Genomic DNA, 17,837 nt, shown 5'->3' on the forward strand with positions numbered 1-17,837 from the left:
TCTGCATGAGATCACATTCAGAGTAATGATTCTTAGGCTTTGTAGAGAGTGTGGAATTGTTGTCTAGGTAAGTTTCTTTCATTGGTTCAGATGTGGGCCTCTTGAAAGGGAACATTGTAGATGAGATCATATGCCAAGGCTACCTCCTCATTGGTGATATCCTGTTTCAGTTCTCATTATAGTTCTAAACAGATCAGAAAAACTTTTTTTTTTTGATGATTCATTGGCCTTTGAGAACAATGAAAACATGTTGTTTTGGCCTTAGTTGATCTCAGGGATGCCATTCCTTTATGTACTTACTTTTTAGTTAAAAGGATTCAGCAACTGTCAGAGAATCAAACTGACTTTGCAATGTTTTGGCATCTTATTGCTAGAACTACTGATAGATATGGTATCTCAAGGATGACATGCAAGGACTTTTCCTAGTTGGTCCCCACTACTACTTTTCTTCCCAATATGATATGAGGAATTCTGAATTGGCTCTTTTGTAAAGTTTTCAGGGTGGCAGGCAACACAGTGACAAGAACACTTGTAAACAGTTTATTTACATTCAATGGATTATATTTAATCATTTTATAGTTAATTTGCGTAAATCTCTCTCTGTGGAATGTCCACGAAAATGTTTTTGGTTGGTGACAAGCAACATGGTAGAGATGCAGAGAGTCGTGAGGCCCGGATTGTAGCCCAAGATCTGTTATCCTCTTTCTGTGTGATCTTGGGCAAGCCATTATCTCCTCTGAGTTGGTTTTCTCATCTGTGAAGAAGACAGATTACAACATCTCTGAAGCTTTACATCTTAAAGTTCTAAAACTTTTCTGTTTAATAGTTAAATATATATAAATTTTCTACTCAAAGTTTTTTTTTTAGAAAATAAATGGGATTTTGGCTTCTATATAAGTAACAATTATACAAGACATTGTAAATCCCAATCTATGATTTATAGGTTCTAATTGAAATACTTCTCATGTTCATGTCTGCATAGTGCCAACACATGTGGATAATGATGACTTTGCATAAGATTTTGTCTGTATGAGTTTCAGCTTTCAGTGGAAAGCTGGGTAGTTAAGAACCACACTATCCAAGAAGCTGGGAAATGACTTATTTTGATTAATCAAAATACAATGTACAGATAAGCTGGTTGAGATACCCGAATCTGACAGGACATTTAAAATAAACTGGCAAAGATTTATATGAGCCAGTCTGGCTGCAGTGTGCACCTGGTGGGTTGTCTGGAAGCTTTGATGAATTAGTAGTGATGTCAGAAGACTTCACTATAATTCTAGGCTAGAATATTGCCATAGGGATGCAGCAGAGGACATCTGGTTTCACTTCAATTTATCCATCAGAGCCAACAATTTGAGTGCTACAGGGACAAGCCCTAGAGAAGCAGATTTTAATACCATGCACCTGATCTATGATGGGTTCTTATTTTTGAGAATGGATGGGTATGTTTAAGTACATTTTTAAAAATTGTAGTACAAAAGTAATACATGCTCACTGTAAGACATTGAAAACTACTGAAGCATATACATTTAAAATATCCTCACCCCCAGCCACCCCAACTCTCACTCTCCTACGGCAGCCAGTATAAGCAAAATTTTATATACTTTATTGAGGTGTTATTGACATTCAAAAAGCTGTATGTATTTAAAGTGTACAACTTGATGAGTTTGGAGGTGAGTAGAGGCCTGTGAAACCATCACCACAATGTATGCCATAAACATACTCATGACGTCCAAGAGTTTTCTTCTGCCCTCTTTATGATGGTGATTAGAACATTTCACATAAGATCTCTTTGTGAACTTTTAAGTGTGTGATACAGTGTTGTTAACTCTAGGTACTATCCTGTCCAGTAGATCCGTAGGACTTGTTAATCTTGCATAACTGAAACTTAAACTTTGTACCCTTTGACCAATTCCTCCCAGTTTTCTCCTCCTCTCGGACTCTGGAAAGCCACTATAAATTTTATATAGATCTTTGTAGGCCTTTTTCTAAGTATCCCACTATTATATTATATTATTGTAATTTAGAATTTTAGACTTGACTGAATGCAGATAATTTTGCATTCTGTGGACTGATATGAAGAAGCCCTTTAATATTTTTCAGTAAAATTGATAGTCTATCAGTATACTCAAATATTTGTCCTGAGCTTCTTGCCATGGGCCAGTCTTGGGCAGTTTTCTAACTTAAATAGTGATCTTGCTTAACCTAAGTCATGTAGAGCTTGTTCAGTGTTGGATAAGGAGATGGTGAACTATAAATAGTATAAGGATATAATTTATCATCCAAACTGGGACATTTTGAGAGTCCTTAATAATTACACTGGGACAACAGGTGTAAGCTGGGACCGTTGGACATTTGGTCACTCTAAAAGTTGACACCAGCACACTTGGGACCACTTGCTTTCCAGTTCTGTTCCATGGTTCCTCATTCCTGTGGGATGATATAGCTGTGAACTCTACTGCATTTGGTCATTGACCTTAAATGAACTGATGGTTGATCGCCTCTTGCCCTTTGGCTTCTGTAATAGAGAAACCACAGTATTTCTTAGGGAGACTTGTTAGCACCCAACATCAGACTAAGTTTCTTAATTCCATAATCATCTAGTGTCTGTTCTTTCCACTTCTCACTTCCTAGTCTCTTCTCAGTTGCCTCCAGCTGGGCTTCTCTTGCCACCATTCCACAAAATCAGCTTTTGTTTATGCCATTTATGACCTCCATGTTCACAAATCTAGGGGTAATCACATCTCTGTCGTTAGTTGATACAGTTGATCGTTCCTTCCTTCTCAGAATATGTTCTTCCCCTTATTCCTGTGACTGCACGCTTTTCCAGCTTCTCCCCACTTTCCAGTGCTGCCTTCTTAGTATCCTCTGCTGAATGCTTCTCTGCTTGTCCTCTGTGTTGAATTGCCCCAGGGCCCTTTCCTACCCACAGTCACACTTTTGTGGATGTAGTAATCATCTTCATGTTGGTGAATGGTTGTACCATGTACTGAAATGGAAACACAGAGAGGAGCAGGTTTAATGTGGGGTGGGGAAGTGGAAGGTCAAAGGCTCTGTTTTGGGTTTAAGATGTCTGTTACAGGCCTGGATGACAATGTCAAGTGGGCAGTTAGATGCATGAGTCTTGAGCTCAGTGGCAGGATCAGGCCTGATGAGTTCTGTCATCCAGCCTATGTAATTTACTGAGCAGTTAATGGCGTGCTACACATTTTTGGAGTTATAATTACAGTTTAGGCTCTCTACCTTCTCACCAGATCATCCCTAAAGCCTTTAACCTGGACTGGCTAGATGAAGTGTCCCTTGGTATTCTGTTCCAATTCTTTCTTTCTCATCACGCTCATTCTCTGTCATCCTGTGAGTCACCACATGTCCCGTAACGCCACAGGCAACCATTCCTTACTCATACAAGAGCGGATACATTATCATAGGTATCTTACACCGTGTCAGCAGTTATTCAAAAGCCAATCTTTAAATTATGCAGCTTTTCTGCCTCAACTGGTCTTCATCAGCTGTTTATCACCATATTTCTATTGCTAATTGCATAAATGAAGACAGATGCAGGAAACTCTGGATGTGGGATGTCTTCTTTGAAAACGAATGCTGCTAACGCCATTTTCAGAACGTCTGCTACAAAATTCCTTCTATAAAATGGTAGCTATCACATATGTGTGTGAATGTATGTGTATATATGTGTGAACACACGCAGACACATACACAGTTGGGGTTGCAGCTGTTCCTCACAGTTGTCCGATAATCTGTTAACTGAGGTAGTGTCCATACAGTTTCTTTGAGGCATAAAATGATTATACACTGGGCAGCAAAACTGCAGCCTATTTTTCTACTCTGATAGTTTCATTTGTGTTACCTCTTCAAGAAGAAGATTAGAATTAAATTGACTAGGCAAGCAAAGCTGAAAATTGAATTAATTTCAGATTTGTAATAAAAAATGGGATCTCTCCTACTCAGTGTTAACTAGGACCCTGTAGGCTATACAAACTAAACTGACAGTCTCTCATTAAAATGATATTTTCTCCAGTGAAATGTACTGGCACTAAATAGTCTCTGAAATGCTTTATGCTGCAGGAACACAGCTGCCTTCAGGATTATGGAACTGAGAGCAGTTTTCATGAATCCCGTGGAAGCCACAGCATTTATTAAATTGTTGCAATTTTACCAACTATTTATGAAATTCCTGCTTTGTGCCAGACATTGTGCTAGGCAGTTTGGATAAGGAAGGTAGTTCATGATTCTTGTGATGAAAGAGCTTCCAATCTAATAGGAGAAAGTGTTACATATAAAACGAAGCTTGAAGTGACTTGGTTAGTGGTGTGAGAGAAGTGCTATGGAAATATGAACAGAGGTGACTAATTCTATCCAGTTGGTTTGGATAAGAAGGAAATGAGTAATGAGAGGTGTGGACTTTGAAGGATTTCACCAGGAAGAAAATAGTCATATGGAACGGTGAAAATTATAAAACATTTCATGTCAAGTTAAATACTATGGAATTAATTCGATTTTTACTATATGGTTTGCCTTTAAGGAGATTTGATAATTTCATTCCAAGATACAATTTCCCCTAAACTGAGGCTACCTTTTTGTTTGTAAGAGTGGCAAAAATTTACTGAATGCCTACCATGTGCTGTGTGTGTATGTACATTCCCTTATTCTACACATAACAGCAGCTCTGCGGTGTAGTTAACATTGTCAACAGTAGATGGGAGAGGTCAGGAGACTTGTGCATGGTTACACAGCTGGTAAGTGGCAGAGCTGGGCTTCACACCCAGGTCTGTTCCTCTGCAGAGACCATGTGTTTCTCCCACAGAACACTGCCTTTCTCACACAGGACTGTTAACAGCTGTGACTGCTGGTCGACGAGGGTGATGACATTGTCAGAGTCCACGTGTACAATTCTGGATTAATTTAACCAGATGCTACATTTGGGGAAGTCTTGGAACCAAATACTTCTCAGTATTTTGTTGACTTGATGGTCTGAGAGCTTAGGTGTTGGTTAGGCCCAGGGTAGGGCAACACTGACCTTTCCTTCTGTCCTCATGTCCGAAAGTGACTGGATCTTGGAGGATGAGTCCCAGTTGCTAAAGAGAGTGGTAAGCCTCTCAGTGGCCCCAGATGAGCTGCCTCAGGAGTGCCAGCCTGTGGGCGGCTGGGTGAGCTAACTGTCCAGCTAGAGGCTGTGGCTCTCCCCTAAGGTACTAATGGTTAAGGCTGCTGGCTATATGAGAGATATTTTCTCTTGGAAGTAACCAGAGCTACACTAAGTGACCTCAGTCCTTGAAGACTAGAAGGCTCCACTGAGCAGTGAGGCTGAGCATGTAGCCCAAAGCCGGGGCAGCAAGACACTAGGACAAGTTTCAGAACTGCGTTCCCTGAGCACTTCTATGTGCCCACCTCTTTTCTGTCAGTGTTCCAAGCCAGACTGTCAAATTGCTTATCTCAGATCCGTAACTGAGCCCAGTCTTCCCCTCCTGGGCCAGTGGCAGATCATGCCTGGAAGGCTGAGCTTTCTTCCACCCCTCATCATTCAAGAAAGGAAGAGACATTATTCATCTTTGGAGGGGAATTTCAAGACTAAAGGAGATGTATGAAGTATTGGTTTCTGACATCTATGTCTCTAGGCAAAACATCACTAGGCAATTATTTCCAATTTACATTGTCTAAGCTCTCAGATGTCCATGGAAGGAGCCACATTTCTGTCTCTCTTCTTTCATCTACTGTATTTACAACTGGGAACTTCTTTCTTGCAGCTAACTTTAAGTTTGCACACTTTATTTGAACATCCATATCTGTTTCTTCTGTGCTCAGGAATTATGAAATTAGCGCTTCTCCTAAGGAAAAGTATCACAGAATTTTCTCCCAGAGGCATCTTAGTGTGGCATGAGAGCATAAGCTTTGGAGTCAGATCTAGATTCAAATCTGTTTCTGCTACATACCATCAATTCGATTTGATGACTGGCACAGGGCCTCCTTTTTTCTTGTTCCTTTGCTGTCCTCAAGAAGTGGCTGCTCCCACTCCAGCCTTCATGTCTGCATTCCAGCCAGCAGGAGGAGAAAGAGGGGCACTGCTAAGAACACTTCCTGGAAGTTGCACACATGACTTCCATTTTCATCCCAGGGGCCAGAGCATGGTTGAATGGCCACACCCAGCAGACTCCAAGGGAAGCTAGGAAATGTCTTTATTCTTGGCATTTATTTCTGTAAAAGAAGAGGAGTGATTATCATAGGTTGAGTTTCCTAGGAAGCAGCTCTGAGACGAAGTTCAGCTTGCAAAATGTTTATTGGATCAGTAGTGATGGAAGGGAGGGCAGAGAGAGAAGTCAGGATACTATGCAGGCTCCACAGGATGGTCAGGCCTTTATGTTCCTACATTGATCAGTCATTAGGTACAGGCCATTATGGGAAGAAGGGTGACTGTGGGTGAGGGAGCCGTTGGAAGTTGAGGTGATCCCTGAAGAGCCTGACAGACAGAGGCCTTCTGGCCAACAGCACTACCAGCAACATATCCTTCATGGAAGGGGGTTCTGGATGGTTTTTAGCCTACATCACGGGGAGAATGGAAGAGCTAGCATCTCTGCTACACTACATCATAGGGTGGTTGTAAGGATCAAATAAAATAAAACATAGAGGTCCTTTTGCAAGAGGACCTGGCTTATGGTAAGCATCCAATCTATCTTAGATGTGGTATTAGCATTTCCCAAAGTTATTTTTACAAGATGTTTTTCTCCCCGAGGATCTTGTGGGACTAAAAGAGTTGGCATCCCTAGTCTAATGATCAAATTTAGAAAATAGTGTATTGCAAAATCTTTATCTTCTACTCTGTGTGGATTGGTCTTTAGTCAATGCTTCTCCTAATGACTTGCATTAGAAAAGATAGTGTTGACATTGCTTTTGCCTTTGTTTTTCACCCAAGTGGAAATACAGAAAGTGCTTACAACATGTAAAATTCTGTATTGTTGACATTCATTACTTTTGTTAACAAATGTGTCACATAGAAATTTCCTGAAAATATGATCAAAAAATGAAAAAGCAAATACTTAGTGAGCAGACATGCAGTGGGGGGACCTTCCTACCCAGTGTGAGCCAGCATTTCTCACCTGTGCCTCTATAGTAGTCTAACTGGTGTGCCAGTTCCCACTTTTTGCTCCAGGTATAGTCTATTCATTATGGTAGCCAAAATAAGCCTTTAAAATTTTTAAATCAATCTTACCAATTCCTTTTACTCTCAACCCTTGCTGCCCAGTGTATTGACAGTGAAATGCGGAGTCCTTGCCATTCCTCGCTAGGCCCTGCAGGCACTGGCCCCTAGCCACTTCTCTGACCCCATTTCTGTCCCAGCCATTTTGCTCTAGCCACACTGGCTTCTTTGCTATTTCTCAGATAAACCAAGCAAGTGTCTGACTCAGGACTTTTGGACTTGTTCTTTCCCGTGCCTGAAACGCTCCTCCCCTCGATTTGGCCTTGGCTTACTCCCTCATTTTGTGCAGATTTCTGTGCTCCTCCTAACCTCATTGGAGGCCTTTCCTGACCTCTTTATATAAAATTGCACCTCTTGTCACCCTTTATCTCTCTCACCCTATTTTATTTTATTCATAGCACTTATTACAACCTAAAACTGTGTATTTAATGTTTATTGTTCATTGTATGACCAGACTACAGGATCTAAGAGAGCAGGGCCTTTGTTTTTGCTTATTGCTATATCCCCAGGAGAGTGCCTGGCTTCAAGCATGCACTCCACAAATTTTTGCAAGTGGAGGAGTGAGTGTGCTGGATTCTGGAAGTACAGTAGTACCCTGCCCTTGTGGAATGGGAATATATAGTCTACAACTAAAACCCATTCTAACAGAAGATGCAATAAAAATTATAGAATTTTCTCTTTAAATATATTATTGTTGTAAATACCCATAGGGTTTCTAATATTGAGCCATCCTTGCATTCCTGTGACAACCTTACTTGGTCATGATACACAATTATTTTATAATAATATACTATTCTTAAGATTTGGTTTGCCATTATGTATTCTATTTAATATTGGCAAGTAAGAATGGTTTTCTGTAGCTTTATGATGTCTTTATCTAGTTTTGATAACCATAAGCCTTATCCTGGTTATACCAGCCTCACAGGGGTTCAACCTGCCTTATTTTGTTGTTGTTGTTGTTGTGTTTTGTTTTGCCTTAGGCTTTTAGCAGCCCAAAGCCATGTTTTTTAGTTTCTGACTCTAGTGATAAGTGGAAAAGGAGGAGGAGAAAGGGGCTTTATTGGCCCAACCAGAAACAGAGACTAAGAACCCATGACTATATTCTCTCCCTTGTCAAGAACTCTGTTAATCTAGGTTTTACAGAACTTGCCTGTAAAACTGCCTGGGCTCGGTACCTTCGTGTTGGGTAGAAATTTGTCTTTATACATTTTGCGATTATTGCCCCATTTAATTAGTTCCCTTTTCTTGAGTCAGTTTTTATACTTTTATTTTCTGGGAAAGCTTTTATCTATATTTTTGAATATAGGTAGTAGGCTCATAAAATCTTACACGTATATTTTCTAATATTGCTTATTTGTGTTTTCTTTCACTGGTTTTAATCAAGCTTGGCAAATTTTTTTCTACTGTATTGTTGTTTCATTTATGATCCCTTTGATGAGGGGATCATTAGAAGCCCCAACTCCAGCATTATGCAATACATGCAGGAAATGAACATGCACATGTATTCCCTGAATCTACTAGAAAAAAGAATGTCTCCTCCCTCCCCTCCTGTGCCACCCCACCCCCACGTCCTGTTTCTAACTCAACCTTGGATATTTTACAACATATATTCAGTTTGAAAGCTAATACTGATACCTTGCTTTATATGAACATTTGTATACTGGGACCCTGGTGAGGGACTGACTTCATTGGGATAGTTTATGGCTTAATGCATCTATGTGACTTATGTCTTGTTTTCTCTAAGTATTTATCCTAATAAATTTAAGAGATTCTTTGGTTTAAAAAAAACACCTTTGATTTTGTTCATTGAGTCTACTTTGTTGTTATTTTATTCCGTTTCATTAGGGTCTCTTTTTATTCTACCACAATTGCCAGAGTAAGGACAGCTTTATTGCCAGCTGCAGCTTTGCTGTCCACATCGCCCTGTGAGGCCTGGAGTCCCCAAAGACTCTAACCTACTGATATTTGACCTCAATACTCACAGAAGGAAGTCTGCTAGCCCTGAAAATGAATACTTCCTTTGGTGCAAATCTTAAGGTTTTAGCATGGAGCCAAATGCCTTCTCACTGCCAGCAAATTATTTAGGGTGGGGGTGGAGGAGTTGTGATGGTGGAGTGATGGAGAGGAGCCTATAAGTAGTCCAGCTGCTCTGCAGGATATCATTTAGTTGAGCGTCCTGATGGCTTCTTGACTCTGAGCTTGGACTTTTATGCTCACTTTTTATTGCAGGCTTTTTGCTTTGGGTTCCATGTAAATCTGAGTCCTTCGCTTTCTGTCTTCCACATAGACCTCAAAACTTTTGGTCCACTATTAGCACCATTTCTCAGTACTTAATTTTTAACAAAACAAGACACTGGTATGATCTTGCTTTGGAAAGGGGAAATGTAATTACTATCTTGGTGTGTCCTTATGGTCCTCATTTAACTCCTGTATTTTGTCATTGGCCATGTGGGAGAGATGGGAGTCATGAGTTCTGTTGGGCACTGGAATCTTTTTCTCACCCCAGAGTGACCAATCTGCCCTCAGCTTAGTGATTTCAGGAGCAGGAGGAGCCCTTTCCATGGCTGGGTACATGGAGTGTTACATTAATGGGTGCTTGCTCGAAAGTACCCATGTTTTCTTTGGTAAAGAAACTATCTTAAAATCCAAGATGTGGGTTATTTGAGAATATGATTTATTTATAGCAAATTTCTTCTGACATCAAAATAGACTTCTGAATGAATTTAATAAAATTTTTGGGGAATATTTACATATGAAAAAATACCACTGGTTCTATTTTAAAATCTAAGCTTGTAGAGAAACAAAAGATAAAGAAAAAATGTTCAGCTCTATAAAAGATAATCTAGGCATTCATCACCTAAACTTTCAAAGAGTGGAAATAATGTCTTGACTTTCTGTTTTTTCTTCAACTGTTTGGGGTCATTTAGACATGTCAGGGTAAGAGTTTTTTTCCATTTATATGTATCTGTGAATCTCTAAATGTTTAGCTTATTTGGGATTATGTCAGAATGTGCAAATCCAGAATTAATTCTCAAAAGAAAGTGAGATAAAATCAGTTTAAGATGGCAAGTGAAGGATTTGTATAAGATTTCATTAAAGCTTATTAAATGTCGAAATTTATTCCTAAAGAAGGCTCTGAAGTTTGTGCTAAATATAGAAAGAGAAGGAGGAAGAGAGAAGGGGGAGAGGAGAGAGAAAAAAGAGTTTTCTGTCTGGGATGAGGAGAAAGTTGTACCCCCCTCCCAAACTGGGGCTGAACTATAATTCTGACCCTCAAAAGTCAGCTACGTTTCCAAATGAGGATTACCATCATGGCCATTTTATCACTCTGTGCGAGATGCTGACACCATGCACTAAGTTTTGGGTCCCATGTATTTCTTTTTATTGTGGAAGAGAAAAAACTAAAATATAATTAGAAGTGCATTGTTAGGCCGGGCGCAGTAGCTCACACCTGTAATCCCAGCACTTTGGGAGGCCGAGACGGGCAGGTCACAAGGTCAGGAGATCGAGACCATCCTGGCTATCACGGTGAAACCCCATCTCTACTAAAAAAATACAAAAAAAATTAGCTGCGTGTGGTGGCGGGTGCCTGTAATCCCAGCTACTCGGGAGGCTGAGGCAGGAGAATGGCATGAACCTGGGCGGTGGAGGTTGCAGTGAGCCGAGATTGTGCCACTGCATTCCAGCCTGGGTGACAGAGCAAGACTCCATCTCAAAAAAAAAAAAGAAAGAAAGAAAAGAAGTGAATTGTTAAATTAATAAATATATCAAATATATAAAATAACTTTCCTTACACTCTTTACAATTATGATAGTAAGAATGAACTAACACTTTACACTTTCACCTGAGAAATGACAGAGCTTCAGAATTTGATTTCTTTAACTGTAGAGTATTAATGAAATCCAAGATGGTATTTTGAATGAAAGAACCAACAGGAAGAAAAAGCCATTTTGGTGACAGTCTCATGAACTTGTCAGTGGTAGAACTAGGGAAGATAATACAAAAGTTTTGACATCTCAGTTGCTTGCCACCCTATCTGACATGGCACTAGCTTGTTCTTTTAGAATATAGGAAGGAGGGGCTGGGTGCAGTGGCTCACGCCTATAATCCCAGCACTTTGGGAGGCCAAGGTGGGCAGATCACCTGAGGTCAGGAGTTCAAGACCAGCCTGGCCATCATGGTGAAACCCTGTCTCTACTAAAAAAAAAATACAAAAAAATTAGCTGGGTGTGGTAGCGGGTGCCTGTAATCTCAGCTACTCTGGAGGCTGAGGCAGGAGAATCGCTTGAACTCGGGAGGTGGAGGTTGCAGTGAGCCAAGATAGCACCATTGCACTCCAGCCTGGGCGACAAAAGTGAGACTCTGTCTCAAAAAAAAAAAAAAAAAAGAATATAGGAAGGAGGGCCTGGTGTGGTAGCTTACACCTGTAATCCCAGCACTTTGGGAGGCTGAGGCAGGTCGATCGCTTGAGCTCAGGTGTTCAAGACAGGCCTGGACAACATGGCAAAACACCATCTTTACCAAAAATACAAAAATTAGCGGGGTATGGTGGTGTGTGCCTATAGTCACAGCTACTTGGAAGGCTGAAGTGGGAGGATGGCTTGAGCCTAGGAGGTGAAGGTTGCAGTGAGCCAAGATCCTGCCAGTGCACTGCAGCCTGGGTGACAGACCCAGTCTCAAAAAAAAAGAAAAAAAAAAAAAAAAGAATATAGTAAGGAAGGCAGGAGGGAGGGGAGAGAGGGAGAGAGGGAAAAAATATCTTTACAAAAATTTAAAAAGTGGAACAAGATGATTGTAAAACCTTCAAATGATACGGAAATGTACAATAATACAGAGTTAGGAGGTGGGACTCCCACTCCCACCTCCTAATTCGGCTTTCCAAAGGTCCCTACTATTCACGGTTGTATATTCTTCAAACATTTATCTGTGTAGAAGCTAACACATGCATTTAGCCAACTGAGAGGCATTTATTAATAATCGTTTACAGTTTTTTACTATTACAAATAATAACACAATGAAATGCCTTTTTACCCATTAGTATAATATCTATTGAAATGTAATTAGAAATGAATAATTAGTTAGATATGATAAAAATGACTTTCAGTCTGTAAGGCTAAACAATTTACTAGACTAGATTGTTCAAAAATCAGAGTGATTTAATATACCTTAGCTTTTAGAATGCATTGGCAAAAATGACGTTTGTAGCTTTAGACTTGCATAGATAGATAGTTGACTGTCCCAGAAATATTTGACCTGATACAGAGATCTTCTTTGCACATGCTTGCTTTCTAGAGAGGGCTGTACTGGAGTGAGTGGATAATAAGGCTCTTAGTTCTTCCTATATTCTCTATTCATTCTCCCCAGCAATTAAGGGAACTGTGTCTATAATATTGGAGATCTGGAGGAGAATTCAAGGTTAAAAAAGAAATACACCGTTATTATGTTAATTGTCTAAGATAATAATAATTTTGATTCCTTAGGGAACTACCTCAAATGTACTACACAGTTTTTGATGGAATATTTGCAATCTGGCTATAAATATGGAATGATAACGGAATGAGATATTTTCATAGAAACATAGTAAAAGGATAATGCTGAAGAATAAACTACATTATGGCTTGTGAGTCACACGAATAATGATTTGAATTATGTGACTGTGGAATTGTTGCATGAGTATAATAGATGGTTCATTCTTGCCTCTAAGCATTTGACATGCTACTTATTATGAAGGTTCAAATCCCATGCTTATTTATAATTCTTTGGGCGGTTAAGAAAGGAATTATTAGCTCTGGCATCCTTTATTTGTATGTAAAAACGTGAAAGGTAATACTATATGGTTTTCTGTATAAGAGGATATACTACTGAATAGTAAAAATAACAATTTACCTTTATTAAGTACTTACTACCTGCCTGCATTGCTCTGAGCACTTAAACATGGAATGATCCCAATGACCCAACTATATATACATATCTATTATTATCCCCTTTTTACATGCGAGGCATAGAAATGGTCAGTATCTTGCCCAGGGACACACAGCTAGTGAGTGGCAGGCTGGCATAAGTGTTGAGAGACTTTTCTGGCAGTGGTGATAGATTTGCAAGGAGCCAGTCATCCATTTACATTCTTGTCGAGACCCTTCTGTGGCCAATAAATCGCATGGATTTTGAAAAAAGTGATTCAGGTAAGAAGATGCAGCTGATGGCTGTGGAATGGGAAATAGTGTCATTCTCAGATAATTGGTCCACATAGGAATTAAAATATTACCAGCATGCTTAAACTAAATTATGACACTTGCCCAAATTATGGCAGTCACCCTCTACTTCACCTGAGTGAAAATTTTGAAATCTAATTGTATCTAGACAGTACTGACAAATCATTGAAGTTAGAGATTGCTAAATATGTTTTAAAGCTCATATCTAATACTAAAAAACATACAAGTGTTATAGTGAAATACTAGCATGAATTTACAAGTATAAATAAATATATATATGTATATTTTATTCTATTTTGAGACAGGGTCTCATTCTGTCACCCAGGCTGGAGTGCAGTGGTGCGATCACACCTCATGCAGGCTTGACCTCTCTGGGCTCAAGTGATCCTCCCACTTCAGCCTCTCGAGTAGTTGGGACCACAGGCACATGCTGCCACGTCCCACTAATTTTTTTATTTTTTTAGAGATGGAGTTTAGCCATGTTAGCTGGGCTGGTCTTGAACTCCTGGACTCAAGTGATCTGCCCACCTTGGCCTCCCAAAGTGCTGGGATCACAGGTGTGAGCCACCACTCCTGGACTACAAATATATCTTTTAAATTTCAAATTGTTAATATTGAGTTACCTTTTCTACTTTTAATTACAGTGCATGTAACAAAAAGTTTTCTCTATTTTATGCCAACCAAATTGCATTCTGTATTGTATTGAAACTAGGCACAAAGTAATAAAACATTTAAAATAAGTCTATGTTCTAACTAAGTTTTATTTTGAATTTCCCTATCACTTCAAAAGTATCTTTTCTGTACGTATGTTAAATTTTACTTCATTGTTAATCTTCTTTGTTGATTAGTTCTTTTCCCTGATATTTCCCTAATAGTAAACAAAACCTTTAAAAATATTTACAAAGTGTCATTTTATGTTTCATGAAATATTATTTTGGGTTTTTAAAGTCAAATTTTTATATTGGGAAGCATGATAAAAATGAGATTTTAGAGTAATTGACATTTTGAAATATTAGAGAGATTTCCTAGGGAAATTGAAAAAGACATGATTTTCCTAAATTGGGGCTATTTTATTTTCCTGAATCAAATTCAGGCCTTGCTTTTACTTCTTAGATCTTGTTCTTTCTTCTGTTCCTTCTGTAAACCAACTAAGACATAAACACTGATTATCTGTTACTTTGTTCTTGTATGACTTCTCAGTTTTTTGTAACGAGTATCATGAATGTGTCTAATCAAATCATAAAGGGTTATAAGTATCTCTATTAGACCTACTTGTATTTTTTTTTTTTTTGGCTAAATTCTGTCTTCTTGTCTTCTTCTCTAAGATGCTTTAGTATTCCTACCCTCATTCATTGTTCATCCCCACCCACCTCCATTTTGTTTTACCCTCTTACTCATTGATTAAAGGCCATAACCTCCACTAGTGAGAATGCTGGGTTCAGACCTGTGCCACCACTTGCCTACCGTGTAACCTATGGTGAAAACCAGGCGTCTCATTCGTAAAGAGAAGAAAAGGTTAGCACCTAATTTAGGGCTGCTGGGATGATTAAATAATCTGTGTAAAGGGTTTAGCTTCCTGTCTAATATATAGCAAGAGCCCAGTAAATCATAGCTGTTTTTATTGCTGTCATTGCCCAATTAGCTCTGTCCTTGTGGAATATTCTACGTGGTAGGGAAGTTAATATAGGTATGTATGCGTGCATATATTATAGTCGATCAGTAAATAATAACTAATAAAAGTTACATCATACTGTATTACATCCTACATAGAAAATGCTTTATTACAATGCCTGGGAAATGTCATTTACTGACCTCATGTCTTATCTCATAAAATAAGAAATTATTCATATTCCATGGCAATTGATGTATATGCATATTTCTTTTTTATTGTTCTGGATATAACTATGTAATGAAACACTCTGTTATATTGCAAGTAAAAATCAAGCTTAAGTCTAGATTTTTAATTTATGCTTTAAAATTTTCCCTTTAGCTAGTGTTTCAAATAACATTCAGAACATCACAAATTGTTTTCTGTAATACCATTAGGTCAGTTTGTACACAGCCTTTAAAAGTTCTTTTCATATCTGGAACAAAGCTGTAGTTGATTTTAGATTTAAGGAAGTGAAATAGAGACATATACCTTTTCTCAATCTAATTTAAAAAATTTAGTCAAATGTGGATATCTGGTGTGGCAAGGAAAGAATTGTCCGTGTAATTAGCTGTAGTTTATGCTGAATTGCGGCTAGTTTGAAACGACTGTGATGATTATATTCACTGAAATGTTTTTGAGGCTTGATTTTTTAAAAAGATTTTGAGAAGACAAGATTTTTAAAAATGAGATTAAAATAATTCTTACTTTCACCACCCTAAAAATTGACTACAGTATTTTCTTTTTGTATAATACTATAAATATGTATCATTGATATACTTGTAATGAGACTGTACATGCTATTTTGTATTCTATTTTCTCTCATGTTAATATAGGTAAATCCACATTGCAAGATTTTAAATATCTGCACATTAGTGTATTATTATGTTCATGTTCCATAATTTATTGAACTGTTTCAATTTTTTTTTGAGATAAGGTCTTGTGGTATTGCCCAGGCTGGAGTACAGTCGTGATCATAGTTCATGGTAGCCTCGAAATCCAGGGCTCAAGTGAATATCCTGCCTTAGCTTCCTAAGTAGCTAGGACTACAGGCATGTGCTACTCATGCCTAATTATTTATTTTTTTTGTAGAGATGGGGATCTTGCTATGTTGCCCAGGCTGGTCTCAAACTCTTGGGCTCAAATGGTCCTCCTACCTCAGCCTCCCAAAGTGTTGGGATTATAGGCATGAGCCACTGCACCTGGCCTGAACTGTTCTTTAATGTTAGATCTTTATGAAGTTGTAAATTTTTAAATCAATTAGCAAGCAACTAACTATATTGTGCCTATCACTTTTTTGCTATATTAGAATAAATATTTATGAGTAGAATTACCAGGTAAGAGTATAAATACTAATAAACCTTTTGCAACTTGTTACCATATGTATTTTCAAAAGTGTTATAAGACTTTACCGTACCACTAATAATGAATTTGTATAGCCTGCTTTGCCAATATTGGGTGTTACACATCTGACCCTCAAATAAAATGGGACTTAGGGATGCTACCCCCACCCCCTTGCGGTGAAAATCCAAGTAGAACTTTCTGACTCCCCAAAACTTAACTACTAATAGCATGCTGTTGACAAGAAGCCTTACCAATAACAGAAACAGTCCATTAACACATATTTTCTATGTTATATGTATTATATACTGTATTCTTTTTTTTTAAATTTATTTTAAGTTCCAGGATACATGTGCAGGTTTGTTACATAGGTAAATGTGTGCACCTATCAACCCATCATCGAGGTATTAAGCCCCACATGCTATTCTTAAAGGAAGCTAGAGAAAACAAATTGTTAAGAAAATCATAAGGAAGAGAAAAATACCCTTACAGTACTGTATTGTATTTGTCAATACCATAAGAGTACATCATCTGTTTACAGGATGAATTGTCTGTCTGACATAGCAGGCAACTGCAGCTGCAGACCTCAGTCTATGGCAAATCTCAAGCAATTCACCATTTTCTTGTAATATGATGACTTTTCTGTGCTTCTTTGGGAACACCTCCAGCCTAGATCACTAGTGGCACTTCACAGGGGGTCCCACAGTGTTATTTCAGGTTTATAGTATTGCACTAAACATGATGAAAAATACGAGAGAACTTCAAGAGATTTCCACCCCCCCACACACACACTTTTTTTTTTTTTTTTTTTTTTTAAGACGGAGTCTCACTATGTTGCCCAGACTGGAGTGCAGTGGCGCAATCTCGGCTCACCACAACGTCTGCCACCCAGGTTCAAGTGATTCTCGTGCCTCAGCCTCTCGAGCAGCTGGGATTACAGGTGTGAGCCACCACGCCTGGCTTATTTTTGTATTTTTAGTAGAGACGGGGTTTCACCATGTTGCCAGGCTGGTCTTGAACTCCGGACCTCAAGTGATCCTCCCACCTCGGCCTCCCAGAGTTACTGCCTCAGCCACCCAAAGGTGTGAGCCACTGTGCCTGGCCCCCATGGCCTTTTAAGGGATACTCACAACACTTAAGTTCACCACAATAGCAAAGTACTACAGAGGTACAGTGTGCACTATAGTTAATTTTATGCAGTTATGATTTAATACTGCATCTTTATATGTGTTTACATTTATCTCGACTGTGAATGATTCCATGTACTGTCTGTGTGTAAGTTTTCATAAGTTTTAATGTTTTATTATACATTTGTATAAATTTTATGGTAGCAAATGATAAAATAGACCAGTGTTTACATATACTTTTTGCATTCATGACATATCTCTTTCTTAATTTTTTTCAGTATTTCTAGGCTACACGG

The 17,837-nt window shown here is 38.6% G+C and overlaps 1 protein-coding gene across 9 annotated transcripts in view, besides 1 other annotated feature; it reads left to right on the forward strand.

The window, feature by feature from the left end:
- EML6 (EMAP like 6) overlaps positions 1–17,837 on the forward strand; it is a 248,474-nt gene that overhangs the window by 44,413 nt on the left and 186,224 nt on the right. The window lies entirely within an intron of this gene.
- Positions 10,644–10,791: a silencer, noted in NCBI's record as "fragment chr2:55005745-55005892 (GRCh37/hg19 assembly coordinates)". NCBI's record gives its function as "represses an EF-1alpha promoter that drives an FKBP-Casp9 reporter gene in an ReSE screen in HepG2 liver carcinoma cells {active_cell/tissue: HepG2}" and the evidence as "EXISTENCE:reporter gene assay evidence [ECO:0000049][PMID:32094911]".

This window comes from Homo sapiens, chromosome 2 (genome assembly GCF_000001405.40).
Source record: "Homo sapiens chromosome 2, GRCh38.p14 Primary Assembly".
NCBI classification, from domain to species: domain Eukaryota; kingdom Metazoa; phylum Chordata; class Mammalia; order Primates; family Hominidae; genus Homo; species Homo sapiens.